Here is a 22003-nt window from a genome sequence, read left to right as displayed (position 1 = left end):
ATTGGAGTTCATCAAAATCAAAAACTTTTATGCTTCAAAGTACACCATAAAGTGAAAATACAGCTCACGGAATGGGAGAAAAAAATTGCAAACCACGTATCTGATAAGGAATTTGTACTGGTATATATAGAACCCTTAAAACTCAGTAATTAAGACAACTCAATTTAAAAATGGGCAAAGGATCCAAATAAACATTTCTCCAAAGAAGAGATACAAACTGCCAATAGACACATTAAAATTTGGTCGACATCATTAGCCATCAAGGAAATGCAAATCAAAGCCATAAGGAGATACCAGTTCACACCCACTAGGATGGCTGTAATCCAGAGCAGATAACAAGTGTTAATGAGGAAGTTGAGAAATTTGGAACTCTCATACACTGCTGATGGGATTGTAAAACAGTGCAGCCACTTTGAAAAACTGTTTGTGCCTCAAAAGGTTAAACAGTTACCACGTGACCCAGCAATTCAACTCCTAGGTATATATCTTAAGGAGAAATTAATGTCCACATAAAAACTTGTACAAAATGTTCAAAAAACAGCATGACTCATAATAGGCAAGAAGTGGAAATCCAAATGCCCATCAGCTGATTCATGGATAAATAAAATGTGGTATAGCCATACAACAGAATGCTTAAGTACTGATACATGCAACAACATAAATGAACCTTGAAAACATTAGGCTGTCAAAGAGGCCAGTCACAAAAGACCACATATTATATGATTCCGTTTATATAAATGTCCATAAATAGGCAATAAGATAAACAGAAAGTAGATTACCAGTTGCCTAAGTGTTGGAGGTTGGCATTAGAAGAAAATGGGAGCCAGGCACGCAGATACAACTCCAGGTACTCAGGATGCTGAGGCGGAAGGATGCTTTGAGGCCAGGAGCTGAAGCCTGCAGTGAGCCATCATGACGCCAATGCACTGAAGCCTGGGCAACAGAGTGAGATCTCATCTCTAAAAAATAAAATGAGCCAGGCACGGTGGCTCACGCCTGTAATCCCAGAACTCTGGGAGGCTGAGGAGGGTGGATTACCTGAGGTCAGCAGTTTGAGACAGCCTGGCCAACATGGTGAAACCCCGTCACTACTGAAAATACAAAATTTAGCCAGGCGTGGTGGCTTATGCCTGTAATCCCAGGTACTTGGGACTCTGAGGCACAAGAATCACTTGACCCTGGCAGGCAGAGGTTGCAGTGAGTTGAGATTGTGCCACTGCACTGCAGCCTGGGCGATAGAGCAAGTCTCTCTCAAAAAAATAAATAAATAAAAAGTAAAATGAAAAGGGGAGTGAGTGCTAACAGGTACAGGGTTTCAGTTTGGGGTAATGAAATGATTACTTTCTAAAATTGATTGTGGTGATAGCTGCACAACTTCATGAATATACAAGATCACTGAATTGCATACTTTTAAGAGTTGATATACATGACATATCTCAATAAGGCTGTTATCTTTTTAAAGTCTTTCAGGAAGTCAAGTAAGAGGCATGTCTTTGTGTGGACTCCATGTGCCACAGTCCTAGGAGGGAGGCTCTGGTGATCACTCGAACCCTGCAGCTCTAGTTCTGCCCCCACATCCAGGTTTGGACTGAGCTATCCCTTGGTCCTGAGCATTTAAACGTTTCTCCCCTGGGCCAGTTGCAGTGACTCATGCCTGTAATTCTGGCACTTTAGGAGGCTGAGGCAGGTGGATCACTTGAGGCCAGGAGTTTGAGACCAGCCTGGCAACATGGTGAAACCCCATCTCTACTAAAAATACAAAAATTAGCTGGGCATGGTGATGGGTGCCTGTAGTCCCAGCTACTTGGGAGGCTGAGGCACGAGAATCACTTCAACCTGGCAGGCAGAGGTTCCAGTAAGCCAAGATAATACCGCTGCACTCCAGCCTAGGCAACAGAGCGACACTCATCTCAAAAAAAAAGTTTCTTCCGCAATCTCCAGAACTATAGCTCCCTACAGAGTGCCACTGGTAAGCCAACTGCAGTTCTTTTTTTTTCTTTCTATGATGGAGTCTCGCTCTGTCGTCCAGGCTGGAGTACAGTGGCGCCATCATGGCTCACTGCAAGCTCCGCCTCCCAGGTTCACGCCATTCTCCTGCCTCAGCCTCCCAAGTAGCTTGGACTACAGGCACCCACCACCACGCCCAGCTAATTTTTTTTTGTATTTTTAGTAGAGACAGGGTTTCACCATGTTAGCCAGGATGGTCTTGATCTTCTGACCTCGTGATCCGCCTGCCTCGGCCTCCCAAAGTGCTGGGATTACAGGCGTAAGCCACCGCGCCCGGCAGCCAACTGCAGTTCTTGAACTACATCAACCTCAACCCAGAGGCCCAGCGGGCACGAGGGCCTGGTGGGAAGGCAGGTGTCCAAGTCTTTACCTGAAGTGCTCAGCAATAAGGCAAAGGTACTGAAAATAAAGACTCAACAAGAGTGGCATCAGGACAACTAGTTACAAGATGAATGTTGATATTGGTATGTACCTTCAAAGGAGTGACATTAAAATTCCAAGCCCTTTAACAAGTGTGCTTAAAAATACAAAAATACTTCTTACACAGGTAGGCATTCATTCTTTTCTGGTCCTATTTTAATCCATCATTTTTATAGCAGTCAATACAAATCAAAAGAATTTTGGAAATGATTCATTTTTTATTCAAATATAACTACATTTAACAATCAAGGTCATGTGGCTTAGAAACCTGAGCTTGGTTTTAGACTCAGACAGACAGTTCATTGTCGGCAGCCATTAAAACAATGTTCTTGACCCAAGACCAGATGAAGAGAAGGGACAAAAGCAATGTTTTCAAGTACACATTAAATTTCATTCAATAATAGTATGTCTTCATAAAACTACCATGAATAAAACAAACGATTCTAAAAGGCAGTGGGCATAAGGAGGGCTGCTTCACAGTCTACCCCAGTCACCACATTGAATAATCGTATTGTGTTTATATCATAAAGTGAAGTTCTAGTCTCATCCCAGTGTTGAGTTCACCTGATGAACCCTGACCCTTTTCCCTGCCCAACTCATCCTGCAAATAGAAATCTTACTTCTAAGGGAATCCATTTGTCTTTCTTCCCATTACTGTGGTTCAAAAACTGATACTACAGCTGCAGAAGGCAACCCAATATTTAAGGATTTTAATCACAGAATCCTGTAACTAAGACTTTCTTTAAAGAAAGACAACCAGTTCTTTTTTATGTCATTTATTTAGAAAAACCCATTTGCCCCTAGTGAATGTACTAACCTTATTTAAACAAAGATAAGTGAGGGAAGTAAGAAGTGATTTGAGGAATGAGCCTGGGATCTGAGGCCCACCACACATTCCTTACCTTCAACTTACCTTTCCAGTCTTCTCCCACCACTGCTCCACCCACCTGAGATTCTAGGTGGAGCAATCTACAGGATACTCTCTGAATGTGGTTCCAGCTTCTCTTGCCTCACACTCTTGCTCATAACATTTCCTTTCCTTGGAAACATTGCCTTCATCTCAGCCCCATTCAGTCTTTACTTGTTCACATCATACTCTTCTTTCAAAACCCAGTGGAAAAGCTCAATTTCTCATGTAGCCTTACCTAACTCCATGCCTCCAGAAAGTCATGCAAACTCATGCCACAACACAGCCAACAGCAACATACCATCGGCATGGCACTGAGAGCAAGCAAAAAGGACACGGGGTGACTTCACTGTCTCCACTTGAAGAACTTAAGGTCTGTCTGGGTGAGGGGTGTACAGTCTTAAATATTACAGCAATCATTTATTAGAAATATTCATCTGCTTCTAAGTTATATAAACACTTTTAATGCAAACATTCAATAGGGCATATTTCCCACTGCTCTCAAGATTTCATCTCTTTCTGCTGCCGTAGGCATAAATGGCTTCACTCCGTTCTTTCTTCTCTGCATCACGATAGAATTCTGTGTACAGGCATTAAAATAAAAAAGAAGAAACCAAAATCAGTCATGTATTAAATGCTAATCATTTGCCAGTAATTTGCTATTGCTTCCTCAAAAAGGAAATTCTAAAAACCAAGTTTTTTTTAAAAAAAAAATCCCAAAACCTAATTATAGGACTCCAGATAAACGTATTTAAATTAGTAACAATTAAATAGAAGTACTCATTCCCACAGGAATACATTAACAGCAATTGGGATGAGAATATACAAAGTACAAAGTACAAAAGTATATACAGTCTGTCAAGAAGAGCTACTGAATAATCGTGAAATAAAACCAACAGTGCATTTAGCAAAGCGAAAGGAAATAGCTGGATCCCGTGGTTCAAGGAAACAGAAATTATATACCAATGTTTTCAGAAAAATGGACCATTTTAACTTCCACGGATGGCAGTGAGAGAGAAAAAGGCAGAAATTGAAGCCTAACATGATGTGTTATGACAAGGGAAGTTAAACATTCTGTTCATCTCCAGGAAAACTAAATTTATAACAAAGACATTGTTTTAGGGCTGCAGATACTTAAATGTCTAAGAAGACCCACCTATATTAAAACTGCATTCTTATAGCTTAGAGGACGACGAGGCAGCTAACAAGAGCTCTCAAGGATCTTTCACGGCTAAAGTAGCACACAGAGGATAAAGTTGAAAAGTTAAGTTTCCCTACAGCCATCAGTGGGAAAGGATTGTGGGTACTGACTAATTTTAGGCTTCAGTTTCAACCCTAGGAGATGGGTTTTAACACAAAGCTAACCAATCTAGGCTTACCCAGAATCTCCGGCAGTTTTTGTACCTCAAGAAGTAAGTGGAACACCTTTCCCTGTCATAGTTATTTTCATCCAGACATCTGGTGGAAGCATCAGATTCCTTACAGATATAAGAGAGGCATCATTTAAAAGGTAGAACAGGATCTAAAAGCAAACAAACAAACAAACAAAAGCTGCTTCCCCAGAAGCAAATAATGTGAAATAGTTCATTTGTGTTCATTTTGATGGGTAGACTAATAAAAACTGGACAATCTCGCCAGCTATCCCAGTATGCACTCTGCTCAGGCTAACATCTTCCTTTTTATAATGTGGGCCAGTTTTCTGAATATGTGATCACAGGAATTTGAGCCAAATAACTGTGATCAATTAATCCAGTAACCATTTTAGTAAGAAACTGAGGCAAGGTGCAATGTGTTAAATGACTACTGCACAACTAGAATCAGAATCCATCTCCTGACTCACAGTACATCTCTCCTGTTTTTCCAGATTTTCACTTTGGCTTCAATGTTTGATCATAATATTGGTTTCAAGATTCCAAGTAAATCACTAATAACTGGTCTACAACAAGACAACCTAAATTAACACCATTCATCTCAATGCATTTTTGGCTACCATTTACTCCATTATACAAATACACTATTATATAAGCAATTTTAATAGATATTACTTCAAAACCGAAGTCAACAACACAAGCTATAAATTCAAAGGAAAGTAGGTGCCACATGGGGATTAAATTTAAGCTGTGTGAACTGGAAGTAGATTGAATAACAAACTTAAAAGTGAAAGGTATGATTCTGTGAGGTCACCTAAAGCAGGGGTCCCCAACCCCCAGGCCACAAAGTGGTACTGGTCTTCGGTCTGTTAGGAACCCGGCCAGATAGCAGGAGATGAGCAATGGGCAAGTGAGCCTTACCGCCTGAGCTCCCCTTCCTGTCACATCAGTGGCAGCATTAGATTCTCATCTAATGCTATTAGATCCCTATTGTGGGATCTAATATCACGAACCCTATTGTGAACTGCGTGCATGTGAGGGATCTAGGCTGCAAGCTCCTTAGGAGAATCTAATGCCTTTTGACGCCCGCCCCCTTCCCCATCCGTGGAAAAATTGTCTTCCACAAAACCGGTCCTTGGTGCCCAAAAGGTTGGGGAACACAGATCTAAAGGAAAGCTTTAGCTATATGGGTAGACAGTTTGCAACACATATCTAAGAAACATGTTCTACGTAAACAGAACAAAGCTGAATTTCTGTGCCAAATATTTAATGAATGTATATATTTGGAAAATGCATATAACTAAAGAGTATAATTTTCATGGGACCAGTATGATAACTACATTATTCAAACGTAGCAAAGCCACAAGTAAGTATCGCAAATCATACCAAATAAATGCCAATAAAAGCTTACTCTTAAAACATTTTGTTTATCAGATACCTTTGTGAAAACCTTTAAGCTTTAAATAGGCTAATTATATTATCAGCCCATTACTCTCAGCCAGGTTGTCAAGGACATGGTGATATTATTGCTAGTGAAACAATAAATGTCAGTGACAGTTTAAAAATATCATACCTTCCAGTTTTCCATGTTTGGACTAAATATTCTCAGTGTTACATTTTCCTGTCTAGTTTTACAGTGACAACCAAATGCTTGCATATTATACAAATAAGGAAAACTAAAGAAAAGATGAATGTTTGTTAGAGAAATTATAAACATCTAAAAATGCTCTAGTTAAATAGGATATGCTGGCCAACAATATTTTTTCTAGAGAAATAACTTTATTCAACAACTGCAGAAAACAAAGGCCCACAAAACTAGAGCAGCCTGTTTTTCCAACTTAACACTCATGAAAATTAAAGCAAACCATCCTACCGACAAACAAGGATTTATGTCAGGATCTCTCAGCCTCTGTGTTACCGAGGGCATTCTAACAGTCTTCTTACTGAGGGTAGACAGAAAAAAAATAATTATACAGTAGTTGACAGAAAATAAATCAATACATCTCAATAGCACTAAAAGTACCTGAAATTTTGATTTTGGCATAATGATCACTTAGTGAGGAACTTCATGTATTCTCTGTACTTTGTGAATAAAAACTTGAACGTGTTTTTCCTTTGTATTGCCATGCCTCAACACAAAGGCCATATATTGGATTGAAATGCATCTACTGGCTGGGTGCGGTGTCTCACGCCTGTAATCCCAGCACTTTGGGAGGCTGGAGCGAGAGGGCTGCTTAAGCTCAGCAGTTCGAGATCAACCTAGGCGACACAGAGAAACCCCATTTCTACCAAAAATACAAAAATTAGCCTGGTGTCGTGCCGTGTGCCTGTGGTCCCAGCTACTTGGAAGGCTAAGTAAGGTGGGATAGCCCAGGAAGTCAAGGCTGCAGAGAGCTGTGATTGCACCAGTGCACTCCAGCCTGGGTGACAGAGAGAGACCCTGTCTCAAAAAAACGAAAAAGAAAGATAGTTCAATTATAATTCAGTTGTTGTTTACTCTTATTCTTAAGTTTAAGCAACCAAATGTACTAATAAAACCTAAGAATACAGTATGCATTCCAACAATTACTTCCTTATTTTACACCAATTAGCGTACAAAATAAGAATGAAATTCGGTACAGTCCAACTTTAGCAAAAACATTCATCAACTGAAGTACCAGAGTGCCTATTTTATGGCCAATAGTAGGGTAGCCAACACACCAAAAAGCCAAGTTATTGCTTAGTTGACATTATGAAAAGCTATACTGTTTCAAAAACAAAAGAGTTGAAATTTTACTTCCAGTGGCATCTTCTTTTTAACTATTTCCCTGCGTTGCAGGAAGTCAGGGAATGCTACTGTGCTTCAGTAATCTTCCAATTCAATTCCTAGAGATACAGCTTTGCAAAAGTTTAGGAGGCCGAGTCGGGCGGATCACGAGGTCAGGAGTTCAAGACCAGCCTGGCCAACATGGTGAAACCCCCTGTCTACTAAAAATACAAAAATTAGCTGAGCGTGGTGGCACGCGCCTGTAATCCCAACTACTCAGGAGGCTGAGGCAAGAGAATCGCCTGAACTTGGGAAGCAGAGGTTGCAGTGAGCCGAGATCGCGCCACTGCACTCCAGCCCAAGCGACAGCAGTGGAAGACGCCGTCTCAAAAAAAAAAAAAAGAGACACCCAGCCCAGTTCTACTATGGGAAAGATCAGGACGTCCAGGCCAAAGGAGACCAGCCTTTGCAAAAAAAAGAATGGAAAAGGGTTTGGTTATTCTGGTGTCCATTAAGTAATCACTGAATAATAATTTTATGATTTTCATTGAACAATACAAGAAAATAACCAGCCAACAGTAACATCTTGGCAAAAAAGAAATCAAGATGCTGTTCAATTATATCTACAAGCTTCTTCCTCTCCTGAAGACAATTTTTTTCCACACTTCCCTTCTTCCTAAGAGAGATGATGATAGTAAATAAATTCACAGCTTTCTTTTTTACACCTATCCTATGATGTGAGAACACAGAACTCTTCATACACCTTAGATTTAATAATCTCAACAAGGATCAGACAACCTTGCATTAAATTTAAGTTTCGTGCCTTACATGAAAGTATCCTACTCTATATTTTATTGTCAGTCAGAAATTCTTCAAAAATAATACCTAGGTAACATCACATATACCCAGTTCGAGTTTGGTGCATGAGTTTCTTCACATTTCATTTCCTTTTCCTTCCGGATTCTAAATACAAGGCACTCTAAGTTTGGATTTCCGAAAGTCCCCTCCTTTGCATGAGTTCCTCGTGTATTAACTGGAATTGAAGAGGAAATGTCAATTTACAGTGAGGAGCGGGGCTGAATTACAACATCGAGTGCTCCGCTAAAGGGGCCTTGTCTATTACTTTTTGAATGTACTAAATAAATGTTACAAGGCTCTACTACTTGCAGAGCATAACCAGAAAGAAAAACCAAGCAAAGATATGAAGGAGGGGCCACAAAACCATAGCACATTCAGGGGATAACTCTAAAATCCACTCCAAAGGGCAAACTGCTTAATAAAGCAGTTCCTGATTTCCCATCCAGTGGTTCACGTCCCCCCTCTCTAAGTAGCTTTGAAAGGGCAGGGGGAAGGAAACGTTTCTGAACACGTTCATGCCCACACGCCCCGTGGTCGGAGCCCAGGCAGGGTCCGCGGCTCTGCTAAACCCGGAAGCTGCACACGCCGTGCCGTTAACCCACTGCCAGGTGCAAAGTGGAAGGGGGCAAGAAGTCAAGGGTGGCCTGCCGGAGGTGGGCGCGCAGGGCAAGGAGAAACGAAGGGCGAACCCGAGGCCTCGCCGCCTTCCGCGGTGTAGCCCGTCAGCATCTGATCCTGGACGGCGCGCACAGGTGAACACACCTTGCTGTGCCGAGACCATGCCGAGAGAGACAAGGGGCGAGGAAAACGCAGGGAACTGGGGGTGGGGCCGGTAACTGCGCTTCAGAGGCTACACAGGAGAGTGGAAGAAGAGCTGGGGTTGCCCGGACTAGGCAGAGGTCATCTTCCTCGCCCCCGGAGCGAACAGACCCGTGTGGCGGGAGGAAGAGCAACGGGAAGAGGTCCGCGCTGCGGCGAAGCCTGGCGGGAGCGCCTCCGCGCCGCAGAAGTGCATTCGGGCCCCGCTACGGCCCAAGGGCACCCCTCTCTCCCCGCTTTTCTGCGGCCGCTTCGGAGGTAGGGCGGGGGAACCACTCACCTCCGGCCTCCGCTTCGCCAGCACCCAGGCCGTCTCCAGCTCCAAACACGTCAATGGCTCACGCAGCAGGACCTTAAGTAGCGCGCATCCCAACTTGCTGCCCCCGCTCCCCGGCGGCAGCCCGCCCAATCGGCGCGCGCCGCCGCCAGACTGACAGCCGCGCGGGGCCCTGGGCCGCAGGGGCGGTCGGGCCTCGCCCCGCCCCCGCCTGGCGAAAGGAGGGCCGAGGCGGGAGGAGTGGGCGGGGCGGTGAGCGCGACCCCGCCCCCTCTTCCCCCGCCCCACCGCGCCCCCCAGCCGCGGCCCGTCTCTTAACACTTCGGCTTGACGGGCGGCGTCGCGGCCCAATGGGCGGGCCAACTCCCGCCAGCGGCGGCTCCGAGTGGCCAGCTCTCGGGCGGAGCGCGCGCGGGGGGCGGGCGCAGCGGCGGGCGGGGTTTGGGGGCGGGCCGACGGGAGGCGGGGGCGGTGGCCGAACAGGCAGGGGGAGGCAGCGGTGGGCGCGACGTCGGCGGCGGCGGCGGCGGCGGCGGCGGCAGCTGCAAGTTGGGCTGCAGGGGCAGCGCATACACTACAATGGCTGCTGGAAAGAGGCGTAAGGAAACAATTTCCAGGCCCGCCGCGTCCAGCCCGAAATATGAGAAAAAAATTATTAGAAATTCCGCGGGCGGTGTAGAGGCGGCGGACGGGCCGGAGGGAGGATGTTAAAGCCCCGCGGTGAGTTCTCCGGGGGTCCGGGGCGGCGGCGAGGCGTTTAGCGGGAGAAATATCAGGGTTATTTAAATTATGGGACTAGCCGAGGGGGCAGAGGAGCAGCGGCGGCGGCAGGAGGAGGAAAAGTTTGTGCTACTCTCAGCCCCTGCTCAGGACCCCAGAGAGAAAAATAATAATAAAAAATAAAATAAAATAATTACGCGGGGCTGCGAGGACTCCCGAAGTCGCTTCTGACAGGGCAGGGGGCGATGCGGCTGGGGACCCGAAGGTGAGGTCGGTGGGAAAAAAAAAAAAACCTTTATTCAGGGTCTGGAAAGTTTGAAAAGTTTTCCTCCTCCTCCTCCTCCTCCTCCTCTCTGGTGCTGTGAATATTGTGACAGCGGCAGCGGCAGCAGCGAGAGCGGAAGACATTAGAGACCCGAAAAATAAGGGAAAAATTAATATAAATTCAGTTTTGAGAGTAAACTCTCCGCATTTTCCACCAAAACATCCCGGGGGAAGGTCGCTTCCCAAAGGGCCTGGCGGAAACCCGCAGTCGGCAATATTTGGGGGGCACTTTGAGTGACTTGGGGTAACTTTGCCCCTTTTTCAAAAGAGGTTTTTCTTTTCTGGAGAAATGAATTTGTTTTTGCCCTTTCCTCAGGTGGGCAAGCCGGGGTCGGGGTGCGGGGTCTGCAGGGAGGTGTGAGCCCGGGGTGTGTGGCTGCGAGGGGGGGTAGGGGGAGGGGGTGCTAAATGAAAGCAGGAGATCGGCACAGAGCAGGGACAGCTTGTTGTCAGTATCATAAACAACCAAAATGGAGGGAGAACTCAGGCATATAACCAAATAAAAATTTTTAAAAAATCGCAAAAAATCCCTAAAAATCCGGGATGCTCCCCCTTTTCTCGCTAAAGGTAAAAGTATGTACCGCCTTTCCCCTGAAGTCCATTTTGACTTTGCAGGGACCAAGGAGTTAATATTTATTTATTTTTTAAAACTTTCGAAGGGCAAAAGCCTTTTATAACTCAACCGACAATGAGAAAACGTGAAAATCCGATGCAAGAGAAGCAGGGGGAGCGAGGGGGGAGGTGGTAGTGCAGAAACTGCTAAACTTATTGGTAATGTGGACTGATCTCAGATAAGATAAACACTATATTTGCTATTTTATAACTCTCTTTTAATGATCTTTGCGGGGTTTTTTTGGGTGGAAAAAAAAGTGATGCCATTTTCTTAATAGAGTTAATATGTGTGATTGGAAGAATGAACCTTTCCGGCTTTAGATTGCATTTTCGTCGCATTTATGCTTCAGGTTTTGTTAGTGGCTCCCTCCTTTCTTTAAACTGGGCTCTGCAGAGGAGGGATAGAGAGGTGATGGTGCTCAGAGAGGCTGGAGTGCAAGGCTGGAGTACCTTTTGGGGAGGGATGTGGAGTTGCTTGGTTTCCCCCTTCCTGACATGTTTGCTTCACCTGTTCATCCTTCCTAAAGAATGTTAAGCTGAGGTTTTCTGGTTTTATGTGTATAAAAGGATGATGTCTCTTGCATCACATTGATGTTAATGGGAAAGTGCTGCTGATGTTGGTTCCACGTGGGATATGGGACAGAGCAGGGCATTTTAAAGGGACAGCTTCTCTTTTCTTATGGTTTTCATCACCTACACAGAATCACTGTCTGAGGACCAAAAGCAGAGGTGCTGGGAGGGTGTGGTGATGGAAGAGCCTTCCCTTTCTGTTACTCCAGTGCACCCACCCATAGGAGTGATGGAGGGACAGGAGGGATAAACAGCCTCAACCGAAGATGGATATGTGTATAGTTTGTATCCAAACTGTTCCTTTGTGTAACAAGCCCTCCCAGGAACTTTTCATGTTACATTGCTTTGCTTTGGAAGCTGATTTTGGAAGGAATTGTGGAAAAATGGAAATAGTTTAAGGTGTGTGGTGTAATGGTATAGCATTATTGAACAGTTATGAATTCTGTGCAGTGAGATCAAAGAGCTGTGTATGCCCATAATGTGATTTTACAGCCATTTTGTAAAAACTGTAAAATACCTTAATATTCAATTTGGCTTAAGGTACATTGAGGACTTCTGGTTGAAAATTACAGAGTGGTGAAGATTCTTTAAAATTGTAAGCAGTAGGCATTTCTTTAGGGGGAAGGAAAGCACACACACCAACACCATGGAAAAGTTTACACATCCATTTTTAAAGTCCATCCTATGCATGGGTTGTAACTTTGCGCCTTTGAAATGAAAAGATTTTTAAAATCCTGAGCCCTGTGAGTTTTCATTTTCTAAGTTGAATTTATTTGTGTTATTTAACAGAAAGTGTTTACTGACCATAAACTACTATCGGCTCTTATGTTTTAGATTTCCACGATATTTTCAAAATTTAAAATGTGTAAATTGTTAGCTGTACTATAATGGGGATTAAGGTTAATCTTCAGTAGAAATTACTTGTGTTCCATTTTCCACAGGTATATGGAGTTTCTGAAATAAATCCTTATTTCCTCTTGTTTTTATTATTTATAGACATGGATTAAAATTAGAGCTGAATTTTTAGACTTCTTATATAGAATGTTTTTTCTTGCCCTACTGTATAAACAAGTTATTATTTTTGTAGTCTATTGTATGTTAACTTGTGTTTACAACTGAGTTCTTCCAACTTTCTGTAAATACCTCTATACAACATCACATCAGTAACGTGTTTGAGTACATCATCTTGTGGTTTCTGATTTTGGAAGCAATTACAACTTTCTAAGAACTCATTAAAAGATTAATCTCATCACCCACAGTTAAATCAAAATTGATTGGAAAAGGATTAAGCTATCAATAGAGAAGGGAAACTCCTCCATGCCCAATGATCTTCTGTCCAGAGGTTTCAGAATGCCATTAAGACTTACAAAGCCTTTTCATTTTATCTTACGTTTTCATTGTATTTTGGCTCAAGACAGTTACATTGACTATAAGTAGTCAGAATTATGCTGTGCATTTAAAATAAATGAGACTTAGATCTTGAATAATTGCCACTTTGACAAACCAGATACTAATATCAATAAATTCAATCTCTATAAAAAAATGAAGGAATTCAAGTTATATTAGATTATCGTGTTATTCAGGTTGTTTGGACACTATGACTGGTTTATTGTCAATCTAAATAAAAGTGCTGGTATTGTGATTTTTTTTCTTCCTCTCATATAGGGTGGTGTAAAACTTTCTTCATGTTTGTATTTTATGCAACTAGCTACTTGTCTGTTCAGAAAACGCACTCAGAGTGCACCAATCTAAAATCTGTAATCGCTTAGAGAGTCTTATTTAGATGGGGCACAGCACAATATTTAATTTGAAGTGATTGTACTGAGCTTTTGTGATGCCTTAGAAATACTACCTGTTGAACATCCTTTTCTGAAGCTATTAAATTATACCAGTATACAGAAATAATGTCATGATATTGTGTAGTCAAAATCTTTATTTCAGTTGGAATCGGAGAAACCTCATATATTGATAGTCTTATTTGAAATTTATATGCCTACTTTTGCTACTTGAAATTCTATAAAGAATTTATCTGCTGTGGAAGATTTATAAGTGTGGGCTAATATTGACACATTCTATATCTGTATATTATTACCAAAATATTTTAGTAAATAGTAAATAGATATTTATAGCAAAATAAATTAGTGAATTTGCTTTATCAGTATAGTTTTAAAATTTGAAGGGTGCTGTTTGTGTTTTAATAACATGCACAGGTGGGGGTTATTCCTTCATTTTTAATGTAATCCTGATTGTCACTATGTACATTTTGGTTTGATATTCTGCAAATTTTCCTTTCTAAGGATTAAATTTGTTGTTTCCTAAATTAAATGTGATGCTCCTGTCTTAAGTGAGATTTGGAAAGCCAGATAACTAAAACATATATCTATAGCTATCTTTGAAGTTTTGTTTCAGTAATCATTTGCCTCTTGAGCTGTGTAGTCAAAATAATTTTATCTAAGAATGTTTTAATATTTTTTCTTTAGAATCCTGTTCTTTGGAAAATTAAGATATATAAAAAATTACCAGTTACACACATCCCCAAGGAAAAAAAAGTTTTACTGAAGAAACTTACTTACATTGCTTGGAATACATATTCTTTTTGGTGTGTTTGCAAGTGTATAAGAAATAAATATTAATTTTTTCTCTTTATATTGATAACATCTTAGATTCTTTAATTATTTGAGTAAGGGAAGAGTTTCAAAAGGAGGAAACTGAATCTGTTCAACAAAATCCAAGGTAGTGAATATGATCAAGGTAAAAGGGCTATAAATCATCCCTTGAGCCATTTTTAAATGTCTTAAGAACCTGATAAACACCTTTTCTGAAACATTGAATACTTTGAAACTATATCAGTCACTTCTGAAAAACAAAGGTAGACCTTTAGTTTCTTTAGTTCTACCAGGAATTAATATAGGTAGCATATTTAACCAATTAGTAAGTGTTTAGGTAGTCATGGAAAAGTATTTACAAGTAAGTAAAATATGAATGCAGGGTAAATCAGATTGATTAGCTGTAAAGTTAACCTGATTTTAGAATTCATGCATGGGAATTCTTTTCTATTTTACCGTAAGACTACTTTGGAGGTAACTAATTTTTGCTTTTTGTATTTTATTGCCTAAATTTTTTGAAATGCTCAAACCTAAAATCCACTGTTACTACTTTTCATTTATGTTAGATTAACTTTTATATCTTATTTGCAAATTTCATTGTAAAATTTGAGAAATTAAATTAAGATTTTTAGATTATAACATTTTATAAAAGTATTGAGCTATTAACATTTGAAGTTGTAAGAAATGTATGTGTATGAAAGCCTAGTAGAAATTATTACAGGGACATAATTTGATTTTTACTTTTAAATCGATTAGTCTGCTGTCCAGAGGTTTGCATTATACTCACTGTTTATAGCTATCCCTGCCTCCTCTTTACAGGGTGGTACTGACAAGGATATGGTGGTGTGGAACCTCCAAGGGCACTTGGGTATTTTTGTTTTCTGATTTTGTGTATGTATTGGTGTTTGTTGTTAAGAATTTTGCTCTTAAAAAAAAATGCTTATCAGAACATTTAAAAATTTTATAAAACAGAAATATCTTATTTTTTTAAAAAGGTAGTGTTATGCTGCATTAAAATTGTTAGTATTTAAAAGTCCCTGGATGTCTTATAAACAGAGTTACTACAGGATCATGGTATTAAAACTAACCACAGTGTGTGCTGGGAATTTGAGATGACTACCTAAAAAATGTGTGTGCATGTGTAGAATGAATGAACTTATGCAGTATGTCCTAGGTTAATAGGACAAGAAATTTGCTTAAAATATTTCCTTACATTTAAAAGTGGAATCTTCTTAATCTAAAAACATAGAAAACCTAGCAATGTGAAGGTGTTAGGAAGCAAAAATTTTTTTTGGTGCCTTTTAAAAATAAGAATTTTAAACAATGAAAGTATGTAACAATAAGTATGGACTAAAATGTCCAAAATTCATGGTAAAGAATTTGGTAGATAAGAATTTCAGAGTAAAATAACAATTGTGGTAAATTAAAAATTCATCTTATGTGAATAAATAATAACCAACTACAAGGCAAAAGTTGTAATTTTGCCTTAAAAATTAGATAATTGGGGAGATCTACCAAAGAATATTTTTAATACCAATTGCTGGTTTCATAATGACCTTTTTAAAATAGATCCCCAAAGCCTGCCTTCCTTCTCTTCTTAGATTTGAATTAAACTAAATTAAATTCTAAGAATAATTTGTAATGGTTATTCAGAATTTTTTTTAAATAAGAAAAATTACTTTTTGCTATTTTTATAAAATATTTTGAAGATTGTTTTGAATGTGTGTCTTCGTGAAGTGTCCTGAGAAAGTTAGAAATTATTGAAAATCATTTTCTTCATTGTTCATCAGAAAGTTTAAAACTTTAAGTTAATGAAATAAATTTTAAAACCTCAGTCTAAGAATAGTTTGCTTCATGGACTTTTTTAGAGCAATTTAAATAATTTGTTACAGACTTAGTCACATTTAAAAAGCCTTTCACAAGATAATGATAACATTTCACCAACAAAGCTCCTAATTTCTGGTATGTTTTTAGGTCTATGCTGCCGATTAAAGGAATTTTTTCTTTCCCGTTTATTAATTAGCAAGTGCTTTTCTGAAAGAGTATCTAAACTTTTGGTATAATCTTCTGGGATAGAAGTTGCCTTTACTATTAGAAAATATTTTGAGAGAGGAGGGGGCATCTTTTCTTAAAAGGCAACAGAATCCTTTACAGATTGTGAAGGATGTGCCATTAGAGAGTCTTGAACTCTTCTTTTTTGAGAATGAGAGCCCCCTTTTAGCCTTTCACTCATTAAATATTTGAATTATTATTGCAGACCAATATTGGAATTGCACATATATATATTGATTGTGATTTCCTATCTTTTTGTTTCTGAATGTGATAATATTCTCAGAATAAGTGCTATATGTTAAAGGCTGCCATATCAGTTTTTAAAAAATTATCTCTCTTTAACCAGTGGTTAGACATTAGAGCCCTTTAACTTTAAAATACATTTTTGGAGACTGTTAAACTAGAAATCAATTAGCAAATAAGGAATTTAGCCCCTTTGGCTCAAAGGCAAAATTGGAAGGTGTCATAATCAATTTTATTCCTTTGAAGATACATTAGTAAATATTTATTGAATTGTTCTTGATCATGAGAATTTTAAGAAATTAAACCTGGAAACTTAAGATAGTTCAAGTGTACAGTTTCAAAATAACACCGGTTGGATTTTAGTCTACCAGATTTTCTCGGTAACTTGATTTTTTCTTGTATTGTCTTAATGCTGGAGTTACATAGAGCTCACGTCACTTTTCTTCATACCCTGAGAGAGTTACAATAAGTAGGTTTTATTTTTATCAACTTTGGACAATGAAGGGAAAATGCTGTTTTATTATATATGAGCACTTTCCTTTTCTTAAGCTATCTTCTGTATTTCCTAAACATAATTCATTTAAGCACTGCATTCCATTGAAGAGAAATTAGCTCCATTATTCTGTGTTACACAACTGCAACTTATGGAACAGTTGTCACTTTATATATTTGGATTGTTATGACCTTATAACCTATTATAAGCCTAAAAACAAATATTAATATAACCAGCATATCCTATTATAAATAAGCTACACCTCAAACATGAATTTGTTTTCCTTGCACCTTTAAAATTGTTTCTAAATAAATCTGAGAAAATGTTCTTCATATGTTTTGCTAATTTGTCATAGACTGAGGTAATTTAATTGTATAAATTTCAATCTAGATTTTTCTCTTCTAATGTTGGTAGCATTTTACTTGATGTTTACTATTCAATTTCATAGGATTTTAGCATTAGAATAGAAATAGATGTATAATAAAATAGGTTAATTACACCAAGAGTGGTGGAAGCAGCCCTACTAGTTATTTGGAAGATTTTTAAAATGTTTCCAAGAAGGAAAGTTTCTGTGATGATCAGGCACACCAAACAGGAGTTAGTGACATTTTATGTTTTTCTTTATCTTGCTTCATAAAACGTGAGCATTCTCAGGGCTACTGTCATACAAACAAATAACTGATTTAACTATGCTGTATGTTAAGCACATCTATCAGGTCTAGCTTTTAATGTAATTTGCTCAGTTTATTTTTAAGAAAAAGGTGTAAGACATTTTTTCAGCAATAATTTGGCATATATTACGTTTTGAAAGATGCTGTATTAAAATATATTGTCATATTTGCTTACCCAAATCAAAATGAAAGTAAACTATCAAGTAACAGGCTTAATTAGACATAGAATGAAAGCTTTAAATATTAAACTGAATAACTTGATTTACTGCTGAAATATACATAATTTTAATTCAGATAGTTGTTTTTGTATCTGAATCTACTTTTTATGCCTAGAAATTTGTAAACAAAGTACAAAATACACATATAAAATTCTGTAGACGTTCCTAAGCAGCTAGCCTTTAACAGTTAATAAATTTATTAGTTTTTTTTCAAATATGTGGTCAAAATTACTTAAAGATCGTGATATATTCAATTATTTTCATTATTCTTCAAAGAAAAGTAGTGACAAATAGGTCAGTACTTGGTTGAATGTCTGTTGTATTTAAATTCTTAATTATCAAGCATTTAATACTTTTAATGGTATTTCAATTTTTTAAGTACAGTTACAGATGTTTTTCTTAAAAGCCCTTCTTTTGGGAAAGTATAAACTAATGTCTGTACTTCCTATCTCACAATATTGCTGCTGAGAGATTGGTGACAGACAGTTATTTTAAAACTTTACTTCTGTAACTGCTTTTATTTAATATGTTCTCAAGATCATGTTATTCTTAAATTCCTATCTAGGAGCACTTTTAATCATAGCCTGGGTTATCTTTTCAGCTGTATACCAGAGATACAGTTGCTCTACTTAAACATTAGATCTCATGTGGTGCTTGAATTTAATTATTCTTAGTTCACCTTTTATCCCTCAGTGCAGGGAAAAGTAGAGAAAGCAGTTTGTTGTGGGAGAAGTGCAATTGATCACATTCAGAGGCTGACTCATAATAGCTTTTGTACAATGCATGATACTCTTCCAGAATTAAAAGAAATTTTTTAATTGAAGCCAAAATACCCGCATGTCTAAGTTTGTCCTAATCAGATTTCAGGCACACTTGTGTGCTTCCATTGGCCCTTCCAAGTGTTCTTGCTGTTTGCATGTGTTTGGTTCTCAGTGCTGCCACCCTGTGTATGGCAGTGCCTTACGTAGACTAGTTTTCTGTGCTTTTTAAAATCAAGCAATAACATCCAAAATCACTTCTGGAAAATGAGCATATGTATTAAAATTAATATAAAAGTCATTGTGGTATACTCTGGTTCTGTGTTTAATGCTGTACTAAAATCTAGATCTTTTTCAAGTTGCACAGTTCAGAAGTGTGGTCTTCAACTGCTAAGTATAAAATTCAGAAAATTTTAAAGATAAGTAACTTTATCTCATCCATCATTTCACTGAAATAAAGTAGAATTAGACTAGTATTTTAAATCTAGCTTGAAATTGATCAAATAAGAAAGCAGAGGTTCTGATCCTTTAAAGATGAGATGTTACAAAATTTTTTATTTCAGCCAAGTTTTAGTTAAAGGTTTTTCCTAGTAAAAACAAAAAAAAAAAAAAAGAGCCCAAAAAGAAACTGTTTATGTTTAAAAGAAAAAGAAACTCAACTTGATTGGTTGAATTATTCCCTGAATCGTTAGCAACATGACTTTTATAACTCTCAAAATATTTTGAGTATTAATGCTATGCTTCAGCCATAAAATACTTTGGCTACCTATCAGTCTTTGCTTTTACCTATATTATCTCATTTAGTTTTCACAGCAATCTCATGAGATAGGAATTGCAGGGATAATGTGTATGCAAGAAGCAATAATGATTTCAGAAGGAATTCTGTTACTTTTTGTAAGTAAATCTTTAGAATGGACAGACCTATAGCAGCTAATTATTATATGTTATTTGGGTAGTATAAACCTAAATTATGTCCATATTGAAGTTCATATATTTAAGAAAATTGTACATTCTTACAAAATGAAGATTTCAGGCATAGAGTTGACAGAGTAATTCGAGTTAGAAAGTGCTAAATGTCAACTTATCTTTAAGCTGTACATAAGGAATTGGGGAAATTTATCAACTTATTAAGCTAAAGGAGATTTTTCTAAAGATATAAGTATAAACTTTGTCTCATAATAAGGATCTTAAATAGGTAATTTTATTAATTTTGGCCTTAAATTTGTTGCAAAGCTGTCTGATTTCAGAATAATGAATAAACATTTTTCCCCAAATTTTTGAATGGTCTTATTTCATTAAACAATGTAATTCTACATGATGACAATTGAAAATATTGCTTAGCTTGGTTAATTTTAGATGTTAGGCTTCCAAGCTAAAAATGCCACTGATGATCTTCCCACCCAGGAGAGTTAAAAGAATTTAATACAGTATATGGTATTGTCCCAATTACTAAAGAATTCCAAGTTTCACATCTCCATTTTGTTATTCATGTAATCTCCATGGGTTTGGGGGATTTGGGGATTTCTCTCTTCCTTTGTGTCTCCCCTATAATAAACACATAAATATTCCTTAAATTTATTTTAAAATAAAAATGTGATTGTCACGGGAAATGTGGCTAAATGTTGAATTGGGCGAAAAAGAAAAATTTTTTAAACTTCTCTGCTTTTATGCCTTTGGATGATGAGTTAATGTATAAAGAGATCCCAGAGCATTGTTTTTTAAAATGCTAAATGAATGGTAAAGACAGTAAAAACTATAGGTGCTCAAGGGAGGGAGAGGTGGAACTTGAGATGGGCTTTGAAAAAGGCATGAGTTAGGAATTGGCAAGAAGAAGCAGGGCTGTTCAGGTGAGAGGAATGGTTTTGGCAGAGGTTAGGAGACAGAGAAGACCAGTCTGACTGGAGAGGATGGTTTGCAAGGGTACAGTTCAGGAGCCGCTAGAAAGGTGTGCTGAGATCTGATTGTGAAAAGCCTTTATTACCAGCCTGAGGAATGTGCACTATGTGCTGCGGAAGGCATTGTAGCTTTTTGAGCAGAGGAGGATGAATTAGGAAAGTTAAGTTGATCCAGAGTCCAGAATAAACTGACCCCATGGATGTAAGACTAGCGTTACAGAAATGTGAATATGTTCCACATTGGAAGCGGGGCCCGCTGCACGCAGAGGTCTCCGGTCTTTACCACTAGGTCCATTCTGCTAGCAATTCAGACTTCAGCTATTCTGTGAATGGCTCTACCATTTTTTAGTTCCTTAGTCATGGAACCACCTTTTTCTATATTCAGTTGGAACTTCCGTCATGGGTTTAATACTTGTGTTATAGAGACATTAACGAAATGGACACATAGAAGAAGTTAATACCACTTGGGGGAATTAGACTCACAGAGGAGGTAGCTGTAGAGCCAAGAATGGCGGGGGAAGGCCGGGGAATCCAGGGAAGGATGCTTGGGCCCGCATATGCAGCACGTGCCCCATTCTTCTGCAGTTGAGTGTCAGGGTGTCAGGGGTGAGCAGAATGATGGTGGAGAAAGCTAGAAAGGGAGACAGGCCAGGAGGCATCAGGTCCCGAAGGCCACACAGAAGGGGTTTTATTCCGTTGAGAGGGTACCCACTGAGGTTCAGAGCTGGGTCTTTCATGGTATAAACCCACTCTTTTACCTGCATCCCCATTCTCTCTCCTTTTGCTCATTCCTCTCACCAGTGATTCTCAACATCTAATGTTCTCCTATAACCCTCTCACCAGATGTCTAGCTTAGCTCCCAGAGAAGACTGGGACTGTCAGTGCCCTCTTTACCTCTGGATTCCTCTGTAATGATGCCCAGCCCTCCTGTAGGGGAGGATCGGGGGGGGTGGTGGAGACGTACTGCCTAGTGCCAGGAAGGGTTGGTCTAGCTGGGGAGGCTGGGCCCCAGGGCTGTATACCGGGGCTTCTGGAGCCAGCCGGTTACTCCAGCCCCTCGTAGGTCCTTGTATTGTCACTCACCCCTCCCATCTTGGAATTTCCCATCTCTTCCTCTCCACTTGCAAAATATGCTCAGATCTTCCCAAATCAAAAAAATAAAATACACCTTTGGCTTCATCATCCCCCTTCCCTAAGTACCTTTCCCCTCATCAGTGCCAGACTTTCTGGAAGAGTGGTCCATGTGCTGTTTCTTTCATCTCCCCTTACTCTTTAGCTATCCTGCCCCTTCATTTTGAGTCTGCATTTGAAGGCAACATCCATCAACAGCCTCCCAGGCACCAAAGCTGGTGGCATCATTTCCATTTTATCCCCACTTGCCTTTCTGCAGGATTCCACATGTTTGGCAAACTCCTGCATCTCTGACTTTTCTGGCTT

At 39.3% G+C, this 22003-nt stretch overlaps 2 protein-coding genes across 16 annotated transcripts in view, besides 6 other annotated features; one reads left to right on the top strand and one right to left on the bottom strand.

Annotated features, from left to right (window-relative positions):
* Positions 1-2435: 2435 nt before the first annotated feature.
* Positions 2436-9456, bottom strand: CHCHD7 (coiled-coil-helix-coiled-coil-helix domain containing 7). 12 transcript variants are annotated; one of them, NR_133934.2, is made up of 6 exons: positions 9408-9456; positions 8336-8483; positions 6578-6647; positions 4714-4856; positions 4491-4565; positions 2436-3914 (listed from the first exon to the last, which is right to left on the bottom strand). NR_133934.2 is itself a non-coding variant. In NM_001011667.3 (5 exons), the coding sequence occupies exons 2-4, from the start codon at positions 8392-8394 to the stop codon at positions 4740-4742; spliced, it is 246 nt and encodes an 81-aa protein (NP_001011667.1). In that variant the 5' UTR covers positions 8395-8483; positions 9408-9456; the 3' UTR covers positions 2436-3914; positions 4714-4739. The 12 variants fall into 12 exon arrangements, 8 of the variants coding, with proteins under 8 accessions (NP_001011667.1, NP_001011668.1, NP_001011669.1 ...); NR_133935.2 differs by having other exon boundaries at positions 4739-4856; NR_133936.2 differs by having other exon boundaries at positions 4714-4812.
* Positions 7208-7707: an enhancer, noted in NCBI's record as "H3K4me1 hESC enhancer chr8:57126097-57126596 (GRCh37/hg19 assembly coordinates)". NCBI's record gives its function as "activates a minimal SCP1, AML or CMV promoter by ChIP-STARR-seq in primed H9 embryonic stem cells {active_cell/tissue: H9 hESC(primed)}" and the evidence as "EXISTENCE:reporter gene assay evidence [ECO:0000049][PMID:30033119]".
* Positions 9278-9347: an enhancer, noted in NCBI's record as "active region_27400". NCBI's record gives its function as "activates an Ori minimal core promoter by ATAC-STARR-seq in GM12878 lymphoblastoid cells {active_cell/tissue: GM12878}" and the evidence as "EXISTENCE:reporter gene assay evidence [ECO:0000049][PMID:35858748]".
* Positions 9360-9585: a silencer, noted in NCBI's record as "fragment chr8:57124219-57124444 (GRCh37/hg19 assembly coordinates)". NCBI's record gives its function as "represses an EF-1alpha promoter that drives an FKBP-Casp9 reporter gene in an ReSE screen in K562 erythroleukemia cells {active_cell/tissue: K562}" and the evidence as "EXISTENCE:reporter gene assay evidence [ECO:0000049][PMID:32094911]".
* Positions 9360-9987: a biological region, named in NCBI's record as "ReSE screen-validated silencer GRCh37_chr8:57124219-57124444".
* Positions 9428-9987: a silencer, noted in NCBI's record as "silent region_19211". NCBI's record gives its function as "represses an Ori minimal core promoter by ATAC-STARR-seq in GM12878 lymphoblastoid cells {active_cell/tissue: GM12878}" and the evidence as "EXISTENCE:reporter gene assay evidence [ECO:0000049][PMID:35858748]".
* PLAG1 (PLAG1 zinc finger) overlaps positions 9972-22003 on the top strand; it is a 50365-nt gene continuing 38333 nt past the window's right edge. For all 4 annotated transcript variants that reach the window (NM_001114635.2, NM_001114634.2, NM_002655.3 and 1 more), the window contains exon 1: positions 9972-10124. The gene's annotated coding sequence lies outside the window, so the exon portion shown is untranslated. The remainder of the gene's footprint in view (positions 10125-22003) is intronic.
* Positions 14409-14609: a silencer, noted in NCBI's record as "peak7026 fragment used in MPRA reporter construct". NCBI's record gives its function as "represses an SCP1 promoter by STARR-seq MPRAs in K562 erythroleukemia cells {active_cell/tissue: K562}" and the evidence as "EXISTENCE:reporter gene assay evidence [ECO:0000049][PMID:32103011]".

The sequence above is a fragment of the Homo sapiens genome, chromosome 8, assembly GCF_000001405.40.
Source record: "Homo sapiens chromosome 8, GRCh38.p14 Primary Assembly".
NCBI lineage: Eukaryota > Metazoa > Chordata > Mammalia > Primates > Hominidae > Homo > Homo sapiens.
This window is presented reverse-complemented; position numbering and strand designations above follow the sequence as displayed.

Coding starts and splice junctions, on each gene's coding strand:
- CHCHD7 (NM_001011668.3), bottom strand. CDS start 8,394: ATGAAATGTGAAGAAACTCATGCACCAAACTCGAACTGGGTATATGTG. Junction 4,813..6,577: donor ACATAAATCCTTGTTTGTCG/GTAGGATGGTTT, acceptor TATATCTGTAAG/GAATCTGATGCTTCCACCAG. Junction 3,915..4,713: donor AAAACTGCCGGAGATTCTGG/GTAAGCCTAGAT, acceptor GCCTGTACACAG/AATTCTATCGTGATGCAGAG.